Source organism: Homo sapiens, chromosome 8, assembly GCF_000001405.40.
Source record: "Homo sapiens chromosome 8, GRCh38.p14 Primary Assembly".
Lineage (NCBI taxonomy): Eukaryota > Metazoa > Chordata > Mammalia > Primates > Hominidae > Homo > Homo sapiens.
Genome location: NC_000008.11, coordinates 82,679,407 through 82,702,604, shown reverse-complemented (window position 1 = coordinate 82,702,604; position 23,198 = coordinate 82,679,407). Strand labels below are relative to the sequence as shown.

Below are 23,198 nucleotides of genomic sequence, written 5' to 3'. Positions count from 1 at the left end.
TAATTCTAGAAATCTTTCTAAAAGTATCTCAGATAGATGATCACAAATTCCTGTTTATTGAAAAGAGAATGACTTTAACATTTTTTCTTTACAAAGGCAACAACTGATCACACTAATAATTCAAACAATATAGTCATTTTCACGATATTGATGATTCCTATCCATGAGCATGGAATGTTCTTCCATTTGTTTGTGTCCTCTTTTATTTCATTGAGCAGTGGTTTGTAGTTCTCCTTGAAGAGGTCCTTCACATCCCTTGTAAATTGGATTCCTAGGTATTTTATTCTCTTTGAAGCAATTGTGAATGGGAGTTCACTCATGATTTGGCTCTCTGTCTGTTATAGGTGTATAGGAATGCTTGTGATTTTTGCACATTGATTTTGTATCCTGAGACTTTGCTGAAGTTGCTTATCAGCTTAAGGAGATTTTGGGCTGAGACAATGGAATTTACAAAGAACTCAAACAAATTTAGAAGAAAAAAAAACAAACAAACCCATCAAAAAGTGGGCAAAGGATATGAACAGACACTTCTCAAAAGAAGACACTTATGCAGCCAAAAGACACATGAAAAAATGCTCATCATCACTGGCCATCAGAGAAATGCAAATCAAAACCACAATGAGATACCATCTCACACCAGTTAGAATGGTGATCATTAAAAATCAGGAAACAACAGGTGCTGGAGAGGATGTGGAGAAATAGGAATACTTTTACACTGTTGGTGGGACTGCAAACTAGTTCAACCATTGTGGAAGACAGTGTGGCGATTCCTCAAGGATCTAGAACTAGAAATACCATTTGACCCAGCCATCCCATTACTGGGCATATACCCAAAGAATTATAAATCATGCTGCTATAAAGACACTTGCACACATATGTTTATTGTGACACTGTTCACAACAGCAAAGACTTGGAACCAATTCAAATGTCCATCAATGATAGACTGGATTAAGAAAATGTGGCACATATACACCATGGAATAGTATGCAGCCATTAAAAAGGATGAGTTCATGTCCTTTTTAAGGACATAGATGAAGCTGGAAACCATCATTCTCAGCAAACTATCGCAAGGACAAAAATCCAAACACTGCATATTCTCACTCATAGGTGGGAACTGAACAATGAGAACACTTGGACACAGGAAGGGGAACATCACACACCGGGGCCTGTTGTGGGATGGGGGGAGGGGAGAGGGATAGTATTAGGAGATATATCTAATATAAATGAAGAGTTAATGGGTGCAGCACACCAACATGGCACATGTATACATATGTAACAAACCTGCAAGTTGTGCACATGTGTCCTAGAACTTAAAGTATAATAACAAAATAATAATTCAAACAATATAAAGATATATAGGGAAAATAAATGATCTACCTTCTTCAGTCTAGAGATGATAGTTTTTAATATTCACATTGTAATCAAGAGAAAAATTAAATGCATATAGGATAAATAGGGGTTTTCTTATGATTTCTTTATACTATCATGTTTTACTGCCTCCTAAAACAATAATTCCAGATACTTCTTTCACCAATTTCTTCTCCCTTTTTCCCGATATTGGTTAGGCAGTCATTATTCAAAATGCATCTTTTATAACTAACTCTCTTCTCCCATTATTCCAAATCACATTAATTGTCATTCTGAACATATAACAGATTTATTGCAATAACAGCTCCTTTTGGTAAGTATGCTAGAGCAAGCAATCTTTTGGAATAACTAGAAAAATTGCTGTGATCATTATGAAAATCACGCAGGAATGTGTTCTAATATAATGAAATTTCATGTATCTGTTACAGTCTGACTGATTTTAATAAAATAAAGGTTATTATTGTGATGAAGCAAAAAACAAAATAAGTAAAAATAAGTAGTTTAAAATGAACTAGATTTATTGGTAGCTATGCTGAAATAATAACTATCAGTTTTATGAAAGGTGAAAATGTATTCTTATTCAAAGTAGCAATTTTACAATTCACGGTACAGAACAATTTTTAGTGCAAAATCTAAGTTACAACTTGTAACGTCATCTTTGAATAAATTGCTAGTAATATTGCAGGTAAATGAGGACTGGTTTTTCATTTAGTTGTTATATTAGAATTATAAGTGAAATAGTTATTTTGATCAAATAATGAATTATTTCTCTAACTTTAACCATTATTAGATCATTCCTTCGGTAGTGACTTTCACCTATGTTTTGCAATACTGTCCCTCAAACAGACACATGAAGCAATCTTCAAACCCAGTAAGTATGAAGTTATTACAATCACCAAGTGACTCTCCACATCGTATGTGATTATTCTGTTTTTAGTAAAATAAAATCATATAATTCAGGTCCATTTTAGAACATTTTGTTTTATAAGTCCTTTTTAATTTACAATTGAATTTGTGAAAATAAAACTTAAGACTCCACTAGGGATTGAACAGATTTAGAGTTTACATGTCAGGCACTGTGTAAATAAAAAGTTTACATCACTCATTTTATTAAATCCTTACAATGTCTCTTTGAAAAATATATTACATACTATACCAATTTGTTTTGAAAATGAAGAAAAGAAGTTTCAGTGTAGTTAAACTACATAACCAAATGTATAAATTATACAATTACTGACCTTGAACTCCAGGTCTGGTTGACATAAATACCATTTTTTCAAATGCTCACTCTACTTCCTCCAAATGGTCCAAATCTAAATGGAATACAATATATTGGGTTGGATCATGGGACAAATGGTGTTAGTGGAAATCTCAATAAAGTTTGTAGTTTAGTTAATAACGATATACCAATGTTAATTTATTTGTTTTGACAGTGTGTTATGATTATATAAGGTATCAACATTAGAGGAAACTGGATGAAAGGTCTGTGAGAATGTGCTGTACTGTTTCTGTGATTTTCCAGTAAATCTAAAATTATTCTAAAAATAATTTAAATATTAAAATAAAAAATGACTCAAACACACTAAGTATAATAATGTGATTCATCATTGAACTGAAAAGCAAATACTGGCATGTTAAATATTTAAGTCTTTTTCCTTCTTAAATATTTTCATACTGAGTAGCAACTCCCCAAAAATGGGTAATTGTATTTCATACTAATAGATCTTTCGCTCACAATTTGATATGATAATTTCATTCTTAATAAACAGCATTGTATTAAACATTGTGTTAAAAATGTTTCAACAAGAAAACCAAATAAAAGACTAAGTCCCAGAAACTTTCATACCCACGATAAGTTATTCAACTTTTAGTAATTCCTCTAACAAAAGTGTTTTCTTAATATGGCCATGCAAAAATAAACAACTTTCGACAAGCCTCTGTTGGTTAATGGACTTTTGTACAAAAGCAACTTATTTTTCTTTTCTAGTGTTTTAATTTTTTGAGGACCATTATCACAGCTATACATATCTATTTTTATCAAGTTGGCACCCATTGTTATGAAAACTAAAACAAAGCCACTTAGAGTTATTCCTACAAAGTTTATTTTATTTCCTCCAACACTACCTCTAAATTGCTATTGTCTTTTAAAGCAATTATTTTCCCTTTACTAGTTCACTGCGGGCTTCCGAGCATTTTCCAAAGTGTCTAGAAGATGATAGGTACTCAAACATTTTTCAAAGAGTTGTAAAAACCCATGCTACAAGAAAAATGCCTGCAGTAAGCATTTTAAATTTGTTAATTTTGTACTTCTTTAGGCAAACTCTGCCTTATTCCAGGGAAAATTAAGTTGATACATTTATATATAATGTCTATATATGCATATATGTATATGTCTGTCTGTATGAATACACACACATATATACATGTATGCATACATACACACACAAGAAAATGATATAAAATAAGTATTAAATGAATAAAGAATAATAAACAAAGGCAAAATAAGCACAGGAAATAGAAAAGTGAAGCCAAGAATGAAGTTACAAAACAAAAATAATTCTGCAAAACTCTCCCAATACATTTGCTAGCATGGGAACAAAAAAAAAAGTCTCAAAAGTTTCTAATAGTAAAAATAAAAAGGGAGTCATCAACATTCACAAGATTCTTAGCATCAACCCAATTGCCCAGGATAAGCCCAGTTGCTCCTGGCAACAAGAAGAGAAAGACATTTTTCTCCTTGCACTTCTCGTGAAGCTAGATGTTGTATAAATGTCTGAACAATGTACTTATAAACTTTCTGCCAGTAAATACAAGAATGAGTCATCTAGGACTATTCCTGGAAATACCTGTTTCTTAGTGTAGAGGGCATCAGCTTATAGATAACTTCAGCAAAAACTAATTCTTCTGTGTCAAAATAAGGGAACTCAAATTTGTAGTTCCTTTCTTTTCTGATTTATTACAAGACTTCATTTCAGAGTATTTAGATGTTAGAATGGCACATAGGGGACATGCTTTTTGCTTATTCTCTCTTTTTTCTTCTGAACTTGATTGTGGCCTCAGACTCCTCCTCAACAGTGCAGGAGGCAGACCGTACTAAATAGTTTCAGCTTCCATCCGAGATAAAACACATGCGCCAGTCCCTATCTAGAAAAATAAATTGACTAGATATTATTAGCCAATCTTTCATACATATGATTACTGCCAAGCTAATTAATTTTAAGTGGCAATGAATGTGAAGCCATATTTTCTGAAGGAAATACATAGAGAATATAACAATTCTTTGTTTGCAGATAACCAGAGCCACAAACTTTAATAATCAAATAATCAACATGATGATAAATACATAATTTGTATTGAAATGTTACTCTGTACAAAGCACTGTACTAACACTTTCCTTGGTTTTTTTTTCTGTTTAATTCTTAAAATAACTTTACAAGGTAGTGAATATCATCAGCTGCAGATGAGGAGAGGAAACTGAAATAAGGTGAAGTTGAGATCTTCTAATACAATACATGGAACAGCCTGACAAGGTATTTGCTTAAATGAAAGGCCAACCTACTTTTACTTGGGGGAAGACCATGGAAAGACCATTTGGAAGAGTTATGAGTCTCTCCATAAAGATAGTTGAGAATGTATGATACCCCTCCCAATGGAAAACAAACAAATAAACAAACAAAACAGATACTTGGGGTTTACACACAGCAGACATTATGTCTGTTCTATTAAAAAAAAATCACATAATATCTAGAATCTTAGTAAATCACTATTGTAAAATGCGCTTTCACTTTGAGCTTCATTTCAAATAAGGTCATCACAAAATATATGTCTAGATGATTTAATAACTTAACTCATTGTATAACATTATTTATTTATTTATTTATTTATTTATTTATTTATTTATTTATTTATGTAGAGACGGAGTCTCGCTCTGTCGCCAGGCTGGAGTGCAGTGGCGCGATCGCCGCTCACCGCAAGCTCCGCCTCCCGGGTTCACGCCATTCTCCTGCCTCAGCCTCCCGAGTAGCTGGGAATACAGGCGCCTGCCACCATGCCCGGCAATTTTTTTGTATTTTTAGTAGAGACAAGGTTTCACCATGTTAGCCAGGATGGTCTCAATCTCCTGATTTCGTGAACCGCCCGCCTCAGCCTCCCGAAGTGCTGGGATTACAGGCGTGAGGCACCGTGCCCGGCCCTATTCATTATTTCTTAAAGCTAGGTAACGTCCTTCTTTTAGGTGTTTATAACAGAAACTTATCTTGCTCCTACTATAACACTTACCACACTCATATTAAATTGCCTTTTTATGTGTCAGTCAACCGCATTTTATTGCAAGTAGCTTGAGGAAAGTGACTGTGCCTTATTCATCAGCAGTTCCTAGCACACAATAATAGTTAGATAAATATTAGCTAAATGACCTAAAGAATAAGTTAATAAATGTCCCTAATTTTTATTGTAGATTGACATACAATATATTTGAAAACCCCAGTTGGATGAATATCTGTTTATTTCAAGTGGCATTGTTGATAAATTTTTCCTGTACAGAGCATCAAAGGCAAAGAAAAGGTCAATATTTATCACTACTTACAGATTTATCCACAAGATTATAAAAATAGCCACTGCCAGAATAGTGTTGTCTAGGGTCCAATTTGTAAGACTGCGATTTGTCAATAATAAAATGGCATGTAAATATTTTGGATAGTATATCGAAGAAGATAGTAAGTCTATGTTTTGAGAAGAGTATCAAAATTATCATATTTAAGGATTGGGAATTACTCTATCCCAGCTAGATATCAGATGTAAAATGTTCAATTACTTGATAAAACAAAATATGTGGTAAAGATCGACATTCACCATTAAGTATAATAATCTCAAATTGTTGAGTAAAAGGAAATCTTACCCTGGAACTTAATACAGAAATTTTGCAAGCCATTTGGAGGGTTGATTTTTGAGAAATAAAAATTCCAATTAAATGAAATGCTTTATTCAGGAAAGATCATGAGTAGGCGAAATCCTTAGGGGGAAAAAATCAGTGTGGAGCTTTACCAAGGACAGATCAGGCAGTTGCTACCTGACTCACTAAATAGTCTTCAGTCTTGGTAACCCTAGAGTGGGAAAACCAGACATTTAAAACTCTTGATGTGCTGCTATATGAAGCCCAGGCTTGAAGGATTTTTGTTAAAAGAAAAAGAATGAGCATGATTCTATTCATGTCATTGGAGATAACTTTCAATTGTCTAGAAATATCGAAACTAGAAAAGAAATTCAAGTGAAATAACATTTCAAAGAAGTCAACAGACTAATCCAGATCCTAGGGTATTATATCATGAATCCAGTTTCTTTTAAAAGATAATGGGATAAGAAAGGGGCAAAAGGGCTGCTGCATATTAAATGGCATTTGAAATCTAATGACTACATGCAATGTTGGCATTGTTTTGAACCCGATTTTTACAAAATTCGGTGAAAAGACATGTTTTTTTTTTTTTTCTGACAGTGTAGTCATTTGACTATGGATTGGGATTAGATAACTCCCCCAAATACACTGTTAATTTCATTAATATTATGTAAGAAGATTGGCATAGGATTCAGAGATGAATATTAAAATACCTAGGACAAAAATGGTATAATGTTTGAGAGTTGATTAAAATGTTTTAGCAAATATAAAATAAGACGGGTAACTAGAGCAAGTCTAGTCAAACTATGATAAGTTTTTAATGCTAAGTATATGGGAATTCATAATGCTAATCTCTTACTGTGTAAGAAAATGTTATTTTTTAAAAATCCAAGATTAGATACATATGTTCTTTAAAATCCATTATGCATGCATCACCTTTCAAAAATCGTAGCTACTCTTTATTCTTCGGCCACCACGGTTTTGTGTAAAGTCATGTATATCAAAGGTTATATAATCACCAGTCCCTAAGCCAGTGCCATTTACCTAATGTGTACTGAGAACTGTAGATAATAATAAATGAATAAAAAATTCAGCCTCTGGTTCCCAATTGATTTTAAGATTGGTGAATATTAAAAACAAATAAACAAGAAACTAATATAGAAACAAGGCAAATCATACTGTGTTAACCAGTTTTCTGGACATTATATGTGAAAGTTTTGTTTTATCTTAAAACATTTTGTTGCCATATGGCCTTGATAGTTTATAAGTATGTAACAGTATTGCAACATTCTTTAGGTTAGAAGGCTTACATAAGAAAAAACGAATAGTAATCTCATCTTTGTCTTTATTTCACATTACAGCAATTGCTGAGAAAGATAAAGGCTTAATTTATGCATATTATACATAATTTGTATCCTCCCTTTCTTAGGTAATATAGTTAATGCTGTCATTATGATCATTGTAACAACCAATTCACAAGGTTCAGAGAGGGGACATAATCTAGCCTTTCCTTAGGGGTGAGTTTTTTTTTGTTCTTTAGCCAAAGGATACTGTTGTGAGTCAAATAAAAGACATTTGAACTTTTATTTGAACTTTTAGTTGAACTGCATGGAAGATTTCTCTTGGAGAGCCAATGTATTTCCCTACCCAGAGTGAACATATATTTTTTATATGAGAAGGAGAATTATCATATTTCTATCAAGTATATACTCATGGTATATTCTTTTTTTAGACTCTATGCAATATATCTATGTAATAAAACTGCACTTGTACCCTTTACATTTATCCAAACAAAAATAACAATATAACTATAAAAATAATGCAATTATTAAAAATAAGACCAGTTTTTAGGGTTGGAAATATTACTATAATCCTATTTTGTGAATAGTGAGAAATCCTATTGTATGTAACACTATTAGCTGTTACATGGTTTAATTAAATTTTCATTATGAATTTAAAAAGAGTAGTGCAAATTTTCATATTACTCAGTGCCTGAAAATAACATAGGTGGTTAAGTAACACTTCAGTCTACTATGTGTTTAAGGGAATTCATTGTTATTTGTCTACTCATTTTTCAGAGAACTGCCTGCATGACAGTTTACATCTATAAGCATTTCAAACATATTGTAATAAAGTTATCAGAAAATAATACAATAATTAAGAAATATTGAGAGATGCAAATATAGATGCAAAGAAGCTATAGACATATTCACACAAAAATCAACTGGAACGTTTCTAATTTGTATCCAACTAAAAAATCTGGTTATATTAGGCATTCATTAAAAATGATTACTTGTACTTTTCCACATGTAAACAAGGCTACTGAAGACAGATAATTATATTAGAATTAAATCATGTAGGTCTTTCCTATGAAAACATTTATGCTGTGCAACTAGTGAACCAAAACAACAATCTTTATATCTCCATGAGTATCATTAAACTTCAATAAATTATTAAGATTTGGTAAAGCAAAATAGGAACACCTGCCACTCTGTCAGCAGAACAGATGGTCAATAGTAAATTTTCAAATAGTCATTTCCCAAATTGACAAGAAGAGTCAGTTTGACACTTGGCACACAAAACCATATGTCTCTTGTGTAAAAAAGATCTATGCAAGTCTGAGGGTGAAATCCCATTTCCATTTTTTTGTTAAAAAGGCAAAAGAACCAATTGTTTTTAAGTATCAATGTGCATTTTAAATGTCTGCCAGGTGCTTAACATTTCATTTAATATAAATTCTGTCAAATTACACATTATAACTTAAACTCTCTGGTGAATCCATTGGTGTTTATTATATTATTCTTTATACGTTTTTTTTTTGTATTTAAAAAGTCATGAAATAAAACCCACACTGCTTCTAGTGACAATTGATCCTTGTTCTTTCCAAATATAGCATTTTAGATATTTTCACAGGGCTGCAGTTACATAGAATTCAAGATGATATTTTTCACATACTGAATAAAAAATAAAATAATTCAACCTGAAATGCAATTTAATTTTGCTTTGAAAGAAATAAGAGGCCCTGTAGTGAGGTTAAAAGTCAAATAAATAAATATAAAATAGGTTTTCTTGCTGACTAATGAAAAGGTATATTACTAGTTTGACTTACCAGTTATTGTTAGTGGATCAAAAAATCACAGAATTATCTTTTTTATTATATTTAATGACATAAAAATGTTATTGAATATAATTATGTTCTAAATATGCTGAAGTAAGAAATTTGCAAATTTCTTACTTCAGCATATTTAGAACATAATTATATTTCTAAAACAGGATATTAAAAATATTTCTAGAAATTTTGTGAAGATATGTTAACTAACATAGTTTGCCCAAAAACTGTGCTTAGCTAATATAAAGGTTGATAAAATTGAGTCATTTTATTGAAACTGAATGGTTGAATTATAACCAATTCAATAAGTGTACCTCAATCTGTCCATACAATTCAAGAAGTAATTTCTGAAGAATGCAAATATGAAAATGCTTTACTAATTTTAAATTTGACAAAATCTTTCTGGTACTTATCCTCTTTGTGGATGTGATTAAGGTGCTTCAAAGTTTTTGAGCCTTAGTTTTCTTATCAGTAAAATAGACATAAATTACAACATTTTCATGTATATCTTATAGATATTAAACAGGAAAAAGTCTTTAAAATTTCAAGAACAGTTCCTGAGTATACATTAGTTTCTCCCTGTGGGTTCCTTAACCTCAAATTTTGATCTCACTCAGGCCAACATGTACACCTATACACCCATCCATACACTCACACAAACTCAAATATACATGTGTACACATACATGCTCACATATACATACATGCTGATACACACACTAATAAAACACACACACTCACAAAACACACACATTTGACTTGTCCCTACATGGACATTTTTCCATATAAAAGGCCGAAGTGTCATCATTTCTGAACTGCTCTATAAGAGTTCTGTACATCTTACTTTTGCTGAAACACATGTACCTTCAGGGTTGTAATGACCCTGTATCTTTTTTTAATACCCAATGATTCATGTCTTCTTAAGCTTACATTCACTTAAGACCTCTGCATAAAGAAGGCTTCTATGAACATCGTATTATTTTGTCGTAAAAATGATCATTATATCATGGATAATTATATATGATGGATTATATTGAGAGATTTACTAACATTTAGCCACTTTTCTATCCCTGAAACACAATTCAACTGATTACAATGTACTATAATATTATTCAATATGTTGATAAATTATTTCTATGATTATGTTTTTATTTATTAAATCATTATTATCTTTATCAACTCCTCATTCCTCCTGTGTTTCTTTTAAACATATTTTCCCTTACTGGAATTTCATGAATTGTTAATTTTTAAGGTTTTTTTCCTACGGAAATGATCGAAGTTATAATATTTTCTCTAAATACTGCTTTAGCAATATCTTGTAGGTTTTCGTAAGTAGTGTTTTCATTATTATTTTTATTGTGTTTTGCTTTATTTGTTTTTCATAGTGATACATATTTTGGGGATACATGTGATATTTTGACAATTCATGTAATGTGTAAAAAAGATCAAATATGGGTATTTGGGATATCCATCACCTTAAATATTTTTTCTCTTTATACTAGGAACACTTAAATTATTCTCTTTTAGCTATTTTGAAATGTATAAGAACTTATTGTTAACTATAGTCACTCTATTGATCTGATGAATGCTAGGTCTTATATGTCTTCTAATTGTATGTTTGTAACCATTAATCAACCTCTCTTCATCCCCTTCCCCCAGCCCTCTTCTCTTTCCCAGTCTTTGGTAATCAGCAATCTACTCTATCTTCAAAAAATCCACTTTTTTAGCTCCCACATATGAGTGACAACATGCAATATTTGTCCTTCTGTGCTTGGCTTATTTCACTTAACATAATGTCCTCTAGGCTCATCCTTGTTGTCACAGATGATAGGATTTCATTCTTTTATATATCTAAATATTATTCTGTTGTGTATATATAACACTATTGTTATACACTCATCCATTGATGGACACTTAAGTTGATTTCCTGTTTCAGCTATTGTGAAGTGTGCACATGTGGTAGCGCAGCTTTCTGTTTCATATATTGATTTCCTTTTATTTTGGATATATAACCAGTAGTGGAACTGCTGGATCATATAGTAGTTCTAGTTTTAGTTTTATGAAGGACCTCTATATTATTTTTCATAGTGGCTTTACTTATTTATGTTGTTACCAAAAGTGCATGAGGTTTCCTCATTCTTCACATCCTTGTGAGAATTTCATCATTCTCTTTTTGATAAAAGTCATATTAATTGTGGTGAGATAATATCTCCCTGTGGTTTGTTTGCTTGTTCGTTTGTTTTAGAGACAGGATTTCACTCTGTCACCCAGGCTAGAGTGCAGTGGCATAATACAGCTCACTGCAGACTTGAACTCCTGGGCTCAAGCCACCATTCCAACTCAGCCTCTCAAGTAGCTGGGGTTACAGGTATGTGCTACCACATACAGCTAATGTTTTTTATTTTTATTTTCATAGAGACCTAGTCTCCAACTCCTGGCCTCATGTGATCCTCCCTCTTGGGTCTCCCAAAATGCTGAGATTACAGGTGTGGAGTCACTGAGTCTGGCTTCCCTGTGGTTTTGATATGCATTTCTCTGATGGTTAGTCAAGTTGAGCATTTTTTTTTTATATCTGTTAGCCATTTGTATGTCTTCTTTCAAAAAAATGTGTATTTATATCTTTTTTCCATTTAAAAATAAAAGTATTTTTTCACCATAGAGTTGTTTGAGCTTCTAATATATTCTGGTTCTTAATCCTTTGTCAGATGGATAGTTTGCAAACATTTTTTTTCCCATTCTGTGTGCTGTCTCTTCACTTTGTCGATTGTTTCTTTTGCTGTGCTGTAGCTTTTTAGCTTGATGTAATCTCATTTGTCTATTTTTTGTTTTGTTGCTTGTGCTTTTCTGGCCTTATACAAAAAATATTTGCCCAGACCAATGTCCTGGAGCATGTCCCAGAATTTCCCCCACAAAAAATGTTTTATTTTCTAATAGTCTCATAGGTTTACTTCTTAGATTTATGTCTTTAATCCACTTTGATTTGGTATTTGTATATAGGAGAGGTAGCAGTTTAGTTTTATTCTGCTCTATATGGTTATGCAGTTTCCCCAGCACAATTTATTGAAAAGGCTCCCCTTTCTCCATTGTCTGTTATTGGCACCTTTGTTGAAAATAAAAGTTAGTTGTAAGTGAATTCATTTATATCTGGGTTCCTGACTCTGTTTCACTGGTTTATGTGTGTTTTTATGGCAGTACCATACTGATTAGATTACTATAGCTTTGTTTGTTGTGTATTTTGAATCACATGGTATGATGCCTCTAGCTTTTTTTGTTTTTGTTTTTGTTCTTGATTTTTTGCTTAGGATTCCTTTGGCTATTTGGGGTCTTTTGTGGTTTCATATAAATGTTAACTTCTTAAAAAAAAATTCTGTGATCAATGCCATTGATGTTTTGGTAGAGATTGCATTGAATCTGCACATTGTTTTAGGTCGTTATTGACATTTTAACAATAATAATTCTTCCAATCTATGGGCATTCAATAGCTTTTTATTTTCTGGTTCCTGATCAATTTTTTTCATCAGTATTTCTTCAGTTTTCCTTGTGTATATCTTTCATTTCCTTGTTTAAATTAATTTCTAGGCAGTTTATGTCCTTTGTAGCTTTTGTAAATGAGACTACTTCCTCAGTTTCTTTTTCAGATAGTTCACACTTGGTGTGCATAAATTCTACTGATGTTTGCATGTTGATTTTGTATCCATCAACCTTACTGAATGCATTCATCAGTTCTAAGAGGTTTTTTTTGTAGAGACTGTGTTTTTCCAAATATAAAATCATGTCATCCGTGAATAAGGCTAATTTGACTTCTTCTTTTCCAATATGGATACCCTTTATTTCTTTTATCTTGCCTAATTGCTCTTGCCAAGATTTCCAGTATTATGTTGAATAAACTGGTGAAAATGGACATCTTTTTTTGTTTCAGATTTTAGAGGAAAGACTCTCAATTTTTCCCCATTTAGTATGATGTTCATTGTGGGTTTGTCCTATATGGCCTTTATTATTTTGAGATATGTTCCTTCTATACTCAGTTTGATAAGAATTTTCATCATAAATGGATGTTGAATTTTTTTCAAATGCTTTTTAAATATCTATTGAAATAATCATATGATGTTTCTTCTTGTTTCTGTTATTGTGATATATCACATTTATTGATTTGTGTATGTTTAATCATCCTTGTTTCCCTGGGATTAATCACACTTATTCATGGTGACTGATATTTTTAATGTGCTGTTGGATTCGGTTTGCTAGTATTTTATTGGCAATTGTTGGATCTATGTTTATAAATTATATTAGCCTATTATTTTCTTTTTCTTTTCTTTTTTTTTTTTTTTTTTTGGTGCTGTGTCCTCATCTGGTTTTGGTATCAGGATAATAGCCTTGTAGAATGAGTTTGAACATATTTCTTCCTTTTCAGTTTTTTTTGGAGAGTTTTAGTAGAATTGATATTCGTTCTTTTTACTATGTTTAGTGGAATTCAGCAGTAAAGCCATCATATTTTGGGCTTTTCTTTGATGGGAGACTTTTTATTATGGCTTTGATTTCATTACTCATTATTGGTTTGTTCAGGTTTTCTATTTCTTCATGGCTCTATGTTGGTAGGTGGTATGTGTTCAGAAATTTAACCATTCCTAATGAGTTTTCTAGTGTGTTGGCATATGGTCATCCATAAATCTTTAATGATTCTTTGTATTTCTATCGTTTTGACTGTGATATCTCCTTTTTGTTTCTGATTTTATTTATTTGGGTTTTCTTTTTTTTTTTCTTAGTCTGGCTAAAGGTTTTCCTGTTTTGTTTGTCATATCAAAGAAGCAAGTTTTAATTTTGTTGATATGTTGTATTTTTTGTCTCAATTTTATTTATTTATACCCTAATATTTATTACTTTTTTCTTCTACTAGTTTTGGATATGGTTTGTTCTTATTTTTCTAGTTCCAGAATTCCCTTTTCCCGTATGTTTCTGGGTAAGTTCCTTGAGATGCATCATTATGTTGTTTATTTGACGTCTTTCTACTTTTTTGATGTAGGCATTTATTGTTAAAACTTCTCTCTTAGCACAGCTTTTGCCATATCCCATAGATTTTGGTAAGTTTTGTTTCCATTTTCATTTGTTTCAATACATTTTAAAATAATCTTCTCAGTATCTTCATTGACTCATTGGTCATTAAATTACATGTTGTTTAATTTCCTCATATTTCTATTGTTTCCAGGACCTGTTGTTATTAATTTCTAGTTTTATTCTATTGTGATCAGAAAAGATACTTGACATAGTTTCTACTTTTTTGAATTTATTAAGCCTTGTTTTTTTGGCCTAAGATATGCTCTATTCCAGAGAATGTTCCATGTGTAGATGGAATGTATTCTATAGCAATTGGGTGAAATGTTCTGTAAAATCAGTTAAGTCCATTTGGGCTACAGTATAGTTTCACTTTGATGTTTCTTTTTTGATTTTCTGTCTGAGTGACCTCTTCATTACTGAGAGTGGGATGTTAAAGTGCCCTACGATTATTGAGTTGCAGTTACTCTATCTCCCTCTTCAGATCTATTAGTGTTTGCTTTATATAGCTGGGTGCTCTGGTGTTGGGTGCATAGATTATATATAATTGTTGAATCCTCTTGTTGAATTGAAACCTTTATCATTATATAGTGACCTTGTCTCTTTTTACAGTCTTTAAGTTGTCTATTTTGTCACATATAAATATAGGTATACCTTCTATTTTGATTTGTGTTTTGTTTTGATATTTGTTTTTAAGAGAAAGTAGGCAATTTTCTTTTGCGTATGGTCCAGAGTTCTGTCAGACAAACAGAGCCACGATAAGAATTCTAGATCCATGATAAGAATTATGGAAATAAAAGGTATATTTTAGAATTTATTTAAAAATTGGAAATAAAAATCTGAAAAATAAATGAGAGAATCAAGTAAAAAGTAAGCAATCAGTTATCCTAAGTCAGTAGTACAGAAAGAAAAGTTGGAGCTTAAGGAAAAATGTGAAAAACCAGGCATGGCCAGCTGCCCAAATGGGACCACAAAATAGACAATTGTGACAAAACTAATATGAGCTGGCAATTCTTGGAGAGCTGTGTCTTTGGTGTAGCTCCTGCATAGATTAGTGTACAGCACCAATTGGAAGGGTAGGGTGGGTAGGGCTGTTAATCAGAAGGATCAGCAGTCCAGAAGCCTAATTAGACCTGTAGCAGAGTAAAGCCTCTGACCTTGTCAGGCTATCATAACCTTGTGATAATACTGGCTCCTTTTTCATTCCCCCCTTTCAAATTTTATGAAAGTTCCATTTCTGGCTAGATGTTACACAGAAACATACAAGAAAAGGGAACTCTAGAAACAGCTCTAAGCCCTGGCTGTGTTGCCACAATAAAACTTTGTTGAAGAAGGGGGAAAAAAGCTAGTTTCCTTATATTATCATTAATTTCCAGGTATAATACATTAAGATCAGAATTATATCTGCACTTTTCATAATTTAGAAAATATCGAGGCATTCAATTATTTTAATATATAGTAATTTTCATAAGTATTCAAGGTATAGTTAGCAGAAAGTTGTATTCTCAATGTTTCATGTTTCAAAGTTTGATTATTAAACCTTCATTATTTTTGGCTACTTCATCTTTCTTAATTAGGGAGGTAAATAATTAATTGCCTTCTAATATTAATATGTTGCCTTTACTTTTCTGGGTTTTTTTTGTTTGTTTTTTGTTTGTTTGTTTGTTTGTTTTTGAGATAGCATCTCACTCTGTTACCCAGGCTGGAATACAGTGGCACAATCATGGCTCACTGCAGCCTCAACTCCCTGGGCCCAAGCTATCCTCCCACCTCAGACTTCTGAGTAGCTGGGAATACAGGAGCACACCACCACAGCTGGCTAATTAATTTTTTTTTTTTAGAAACAAAGTCTCACTTTGTTGCCTGGACTGGTCTCAAGCTTTTGGGCTCAAGCAGTTATCCCACCTCGGTCTCCCAAAGTGCTGAGATTATAGGTGTAAACCACCACAACCAACCTAATATTAAAATATCTCTAATTTTCCTTGTATCTTCTACAGTCTCTGCTTTACAAAATTTGCTGCTGTGATATTTGAGGCATATATTTTATACCTATTTGTTCTTCAGTGTTACTTGCAAAGTTTGGAGTGTGTCATTTTAATAACTGGAATCAAAAATATGTGAATTTTAATATTTACTGCTTTATAACATTTAATACTGTTTGGGTCAAATTCTTTCTTGTCTAATATTAAGAAAAATAAAAGTAAAACATTAGCAGGAATCAACACTTAGCATATAACTAAAGCAGTGACTGAGCTAAGCCAAAAATAAAAAGAAGGCCTAATTCTTAATATAAAACATTAATTTGAGATTTGCTTTTTGACCCAGTCTAAAAACATTTTTTTCTTTATGTAGATGGGTTAAAGTCATTTACTTTACTAAAATGACAGACATTTGGCCTCCATTCTGAGTGCTGAGAAGATGAGAATATGGATTTCAATCATGCCAATTATTAAATATAATTATACTTTATCATTTACTAGAAGAGTAATTGTTAACATGTTCAAAATTCATGTATCAGTTTTTCCATCTATAACATTATGATAATAATATTACTTCTCTCCCAATGCTATTATGAGGAGAAAACAAAATACGTACGAAAATTAACAGAGCACATACATTTTTTGGAGATGTAATTGATGACAAACAGTAAACGTATGATTAGAATTCATATCCTCACATGTTCTACAGTTTATAAATGATCTTTATGATACAGTATGGTCTAAAGCACATAATCCCAGGACGCAAAAATAAATATTTTGACAATATTCTAGTTTTCAGGATGTAGAAAAGATATTGCATATATTTGTCAAATTTTGAATTATTTATAAAACAGATTATTTTGGCCTTCATCCTTCTATTTCCCTTCATGTAGCTATATTTTATTCAATTTTATATTCAATAGTTTTTTCAATTTTATATTTCATAATATTGACATACAGTGCTATAAGTATTTTTTTAACTCTTAGCAAAAGAAAGTCATTGCACTCAACCTAAGCACATTAGTGCATGCAATGTTGGTATTTGAATGCATTAATAACTTTGAAGTTAACTAAATAAACAATATTTAATAAGTGAAGAAGGATGTGGAGAAGTGAACACTTCTAATTTTTTATAGCATGATTCTTACATTATTTTAATTGAAGAACCATTTCTGGAAATCAAGGGAGATAGTTAATTTCTTATTCCTCAGCACTTCTATGAAACCCTCTAATGATGGCAAGACAGTTAATTCTGAAATCAAAGGGGAAATCAAAGAAAAGATCAGAGAAGCAACATCTGATGGAGTTGAAAAATGAAAAAAAAGTCTCCACCCTGTGTATTCCTAGAACCATAATAAAACTATAAATAGCTGTGTACTTTATACAAATTACAAAAACTTCTTAACCTCTGCCCCAACTTTGACCACTCTCTATCAGGAAAAAAACATGGCATCACCTACAAGCAGCCCCATGTCTGTTAGTCAAAGATCTGTCATTGTTTATAAGGACAGTTTGGCTCTAGATTACAAACATGAACCAGATATTAGTTAAAAAAATGGGAGTTTTTCTCCTTTCAAAAAGAAATATAAGATATATCCAGTATCAGCACAGAAGTTGTCACCTCTGTCTTTACCAAAAACAAACAAACACAAAAAATGGGCAAACCAAAAATTAATGATTTCTTGCACCCATCAAATCATGAGCATCCAGAGAGGTACTTGAAGAGAGAGCAGCATATCTGGAAGAGAAGCCACTGGAGCCATAGGTTGATTGGGACACTGAGATGGAAGTTTTGAAGAATTGTTAGAGGCTATGAGTGGAATAGTGTGAGGCAGAGTAACTCTTTAGGACTGCAGTCTTACACAGGTATTCTCACTTGCATGGACTTTTCCTCTAGTAACCTCACCAGGTTCCCATTCCAAGGATCTGATAAAATCCCCCCCACAATCCTAGCAGGCAGAGAGGAAGCATAACTTTTGTGAAATAAGCTCAGTGCCTTCTCCATAAAAAAGAGCTACTATCCAGAGGAAAGGGCTTTGTCAGAGTACAATTCTAAAATTTTATCCCAACTGGAAGAAAAGAATAACTCATCACTCCAGTCTTTTCCAGCCTTCTTATGACACTTAATAGGAAACACAAAATTACACAAAACTGAAATCAGCATAACAGCAGATAGGGCCTCAAGGAAAAAGATATGCAATGCTGACTGGTCATGGGGGGCAAAAAGTTACAACCATGGGGAAATATTTGTGAAGGCCACAATCTTTTAGTAAATAGGTCTACTAAAAGACTGAGATTTACTTGGAGGATGATAGAATGTTTCCCATCTCCCCTATCTTATCACACCAACAGGTATCCAGAATAAGAGCAGTGGACTGTAACTGAAAGAGCTGCAAGACTTAGATTCAAGAGGGTATATCAAAATCAAAGACACTGGAGGAATTTAAAGGCTCTGGTGCCCATAGTTACATCAAAAAGAGACCACAATTTGTACTCAGACTAACATAAGTCCTCACAGTAAAGGCCTATTTGTCTGAGTTTCTGTAACTTAACACAACATATCCAGCTGTGGAAAAAAATACAAGCCATGACAAGAGACAATGCAATCATCGAAACCAGGCTGAGATTTGACACATATGTTGAAATTCTCGCACAAGGATATTAAATGAACTATGACTGATTAATATGTTAAAGGGAAGAATTAGACAACACGCAGTAACTGATGGGTAAAGTTAGGAAAGATGGAATCTCTAAGAAAGTGTCAGAAGGGAATGCTAAAAATCAAAACTGTGGTAACATAGAACAATGCTTCCAACAGGCTTATCAGTAGACTGGACACTGCTGAGGAAAAAATTAATGAACTTGAACATAGGTCAACATAAACTTCTCAAACTCTATTGCAAATATTTGTTTTAAACAAAAACAGAATAAAACCTCCAAGAACTATGGAAAAATATCAAAAGGTATAGCAAACACCTAATATGAATGCCACAGTGAAAGAAAAAGAAAAACACTGAGAAGAAATATTGGAAGTAATGATGTCTGAAAACTGTCCACAAATATTGACAGACACCAGACCAGAGATCCAGGAAGCTCAGAGAACACTGAGAAGCATAAATTCCAAAAACAAAATCAAAACATTTATACATATCATATTTAAAATTTAGAAAATAATGAACAACAACAAAAGGATCTTGACAGAATCTAAACAAGAAGAGGAGAGAAGCTTACCTATCCAAAAACACGGGTAAAAATTATATTAGATGTGCTACTGTAAATTCAGGTAAAAAAAATCAGAAGCTCTACAGGGAAAAAAAGAGTTGAATGGAATCTTCAAGGTGTTGAAAGAAAAATACAAAGAATTGATCAACCTAGAGTTGTATATTCAGTAAAATTATTCTTCATAAATGTAGAAATAAGACTTTCTCAGATAACTAAAAACTGAAGTGTTATGATTCTCTCAGATTTCCTGTTATGCAAGAAATATGAAAAGAGTTGCTTCAGGCAGAAGAATAATGAAATAAGTCAGAAACTTGGCAATACATAAAGAAAAAGCGAGTATTAAAGATGTAATAAAATAAGTAAAATAATATATTTTATTTTTCTTATTCTTAATTGATCTGAAAGAAAACTATTTGTATAAACACATAAATAAATGCAATGTACTGAATCAGAATAGCATAAAAATAAATAAATAAATGATAATAATATCACAAGGAAAGAGAGAGAAGAACTGGGAATGCTTTGTCATAAATTTCTCATAGTACACGTGAAGTCACATAGCATTATTCGGAAGTGCGTGTACTTATTTTCACACTATATTTTAAACAATACAGTAACCACTGAGTTTTCTAAACTTAAATGATAATCTAAGAGACAAGAAAAATGAAAAGATAAAATATTTAGTTAAAAGTAGAAATGGAAAAAAGAAACTTACAAATGTAATGAACAGAAAACAGAAACAAACAGGCCACTCTTGCTATCAAGTGTCCATTCTTTTATTCCTTGACTTAAAAAGGAAATAGTTACAAAGCACATAAATAGTAATCAAATAATAGTAGAAATTATTTTAAATGTGAATGGTGAAATCATACGAAATACCAAGAGAGATTCTCAGAATGGGTTTTGAAAAAAAGAGTCAGAATGGATTATGAAAAAAAGAGTCAATTATTTTGTCGTGTATAAGAAAACCACTTTAAATATAATGGTTCAGGTAGGTTAAAAGTAAAGAGGAAGAGAAAATATACCTTCCTAACATTATTCAAAAGAAAGATGACACTAGCTATATTAATTTCAGAAAAGCAGACTTCAGAATAAGGAAAATTATCAGAGAGTAAGAGGGGCAGTACCATTCTTCAAGAAGACATAGCAACTCTAAATATGTATGCACTTAGCAGTGGAATGTGAACATGCATGAGGCCAGCATTACACTAATACCAAAAAAGTTAAAGACATTATGAGAAAGGAAACCACAGGGCATAATCTTTGTGAAACTAAACACCAAAATCCATAGCAAATCTTATCAATTTAATCAAGCAATACCTAAAAAGGATAATACATCATGACTACATGGATTTCATTCCAACAAAGAATGCTGATCAAACATTCATAGGTCAGTCAATGTAACTCATCATCTTAGCAGAATAAATAAGAAAATAGAAAGATCCTATCAATAGACGCAGAAAAAGCAGTTGACAAAACTCAATTCCCCTACATGATAAAGTATTGCACAATATTAGAATTGGTAGAGAATTTTCTTAATCTAATAAAGATTTATGGATACTTATACCTAATGTTGTACTTAATGGTGACAGACCAAGCTGTTTTTCTCTAAGATCAAGAATAGGTCAAGGGGCCGGCTTGGTGGCTCACGCCTGTTATCACAGCACTTTGGGAGACTGAGGCAGGTTGATCACCTGACATCAGGAGTTTGAGACCAGCCTGGCTAACGTGGTGAAGCTCCATCTCTACTAAAAATACAAAAATTAGCCAGGTGTGGTGGTGCATGCCTGTAATCCTAGCTACTCTGGAGGCTGAGACAGGAGAATCACTTGAACCCGAGAGGCGGAGTTTACAGTGAGCCGAGATTGCACCATTGCACTCCAGCCCAACATGGGCAACAAGAGCAAAACTCCGTCTCAAAATAAGATAAAATAAAATAAAATAAGATAAAATAAGATAAAATAAGATAGATAAAGTAAGATAAAATAAGATAAAATACGATAAATAAAATAAAATAAAATAAAACAAAATAAAAAAATAAAATAAAATGGATGTCCTCTCTCACTACTCCTAGTCAGCATTGTACTGGAAGGCCCACTGAGTGGAAAGAGATAAGAAAAAGAAATGAAAGTTATAAAAACTGGAAAGGAAAATTAATATTGGTTTTATTCATGATTACATGACTATGTGAAAATCCCTGAGGAATCTAAAATAAAAACAAGCTCCATAAGTGTTTGCTGTGCATAGTGAATTTCTTCTAAATAGTGTAGCATGGAAGGAAGAGGGACTTTCCAGTGGAGAAACATGGCAAACCTTACCTCAGCCAGGTGATCAAGGTTAACATCAACAGTGATAAGCCATGTTGCTAGCATGTACCCTTGATATGATGTGATAAGAGTGGCACTTTACCTCTATAATCTTCCTTCCCCAAAAGTATAACCTCAAAGTAATTATAAGAAAAACATCAGACAAGCCACAAACCTAGGGAATTCTATAAAGTACTTGAAGAGTTGTCGTCAAAATTGTCAAGGTCATCAAAAGCAAGGAAATTCTGAAAAACTCAGTCTATAGCAGCCTAAGAAGATATAGCCACAGAATGTAATATGGCATTCTCAATGAAATTGTGTAATCAATAAGTGACGTAAGGTAAAATATGAAGGAATCTAAATAATATATGTACTATAGTCAATAATAATGTATCATTTTTGGTCCATTAATCATGATGATTATAACATACTAATGTAAGATGATAATAATTGTCACGACTGAGTTGCGGATATAAGCAAACTGCCTGTACTATTTTCCCAACATTTCTGTAGGTCTACAACTATTCTAAAATTAAACCTTTATTAAGCACTTTCAGATAAAAAAAGACATCTAGAGAAGACTACAATTCTACAAAAGCCACAGCGAAACTAATGATTTACATCCAAGAAGTGTTCAAAATTTCTGGGAATGCAGCATTCAAAAATCACATAATCTCTTTTGTTAGGGAAGTAATATCTAGTGGGGACACAGAAAAATTGAAATACGAGGAGAGTATCTATCCCATCTTTGAGGAGTAGAGAATTCCTTGTGGAAGGAATGTGTATGCTGATATTTATACCATGTTCGAGAGTTAATCAAGGTAAATGTGTAAAGGAGTTGTAATTCAAGAAAAGAGTGGGAAGAATTTTCCAGACTAAGGTCATGAATACAGTCTTAAACATTCTACTTACCCCTTTTCGTTGCAGCTTCCTCTTGCTGGACCTAAAATTTACTCATTTTCTCAGGGTACTTGTAAGAAATATCTTCCCTCCTCCTTCTTCTCCTCTTCCCTCACCTTCTCCCTTTACTCTTTCTGAGCTTTATCTTCCTTCTCTTCCTCATCTGCTCTTTTCCCTTTGTCTCCTCTTCTTCCTCTTTCTTCTTCCTCTTCTGCTGCTTCTTTCTCATGTTTTTTTCTCCTGTTTCTCACCTTCTTCCTCTCCCTTTTTCTCTGTTTTCTCCTCCTCCTTTCCGTCTAATCCTTAATGTTCTTTGTTCTTAGGACTGACATTAAGAAATATCCAGAGGAATGTCATTAATTATTATTTTATCAA

The 23,198-nt window shown here is 32.4% G+C and overlaps 1 long non-coding RNA gene across 1 annotated transcript; it reads right to left on the bottom strand.

The window, feature by feature from the left end:
- Window positions 1–4,475: 4,475 nt before the first annotated feature.
- On the bottom strand, window positions 4,476–22,918 carry LOC107986953 (uncharacterized). The gene is made up of 3 exons (XR_001745983.1): window positions 22,836–22,918; window positions 5,647–5,742; window positions 4,476–4,512 (listed from the first exon to the last, which is right to left on the bottom strand). It is a non-coding gene; the product is annotated as an uncharacterized LOC107986953 (long non-coding RNA).
- Between the last annotated feature and the right edge of the window lie 280 nt (window positions 22,919–23,198).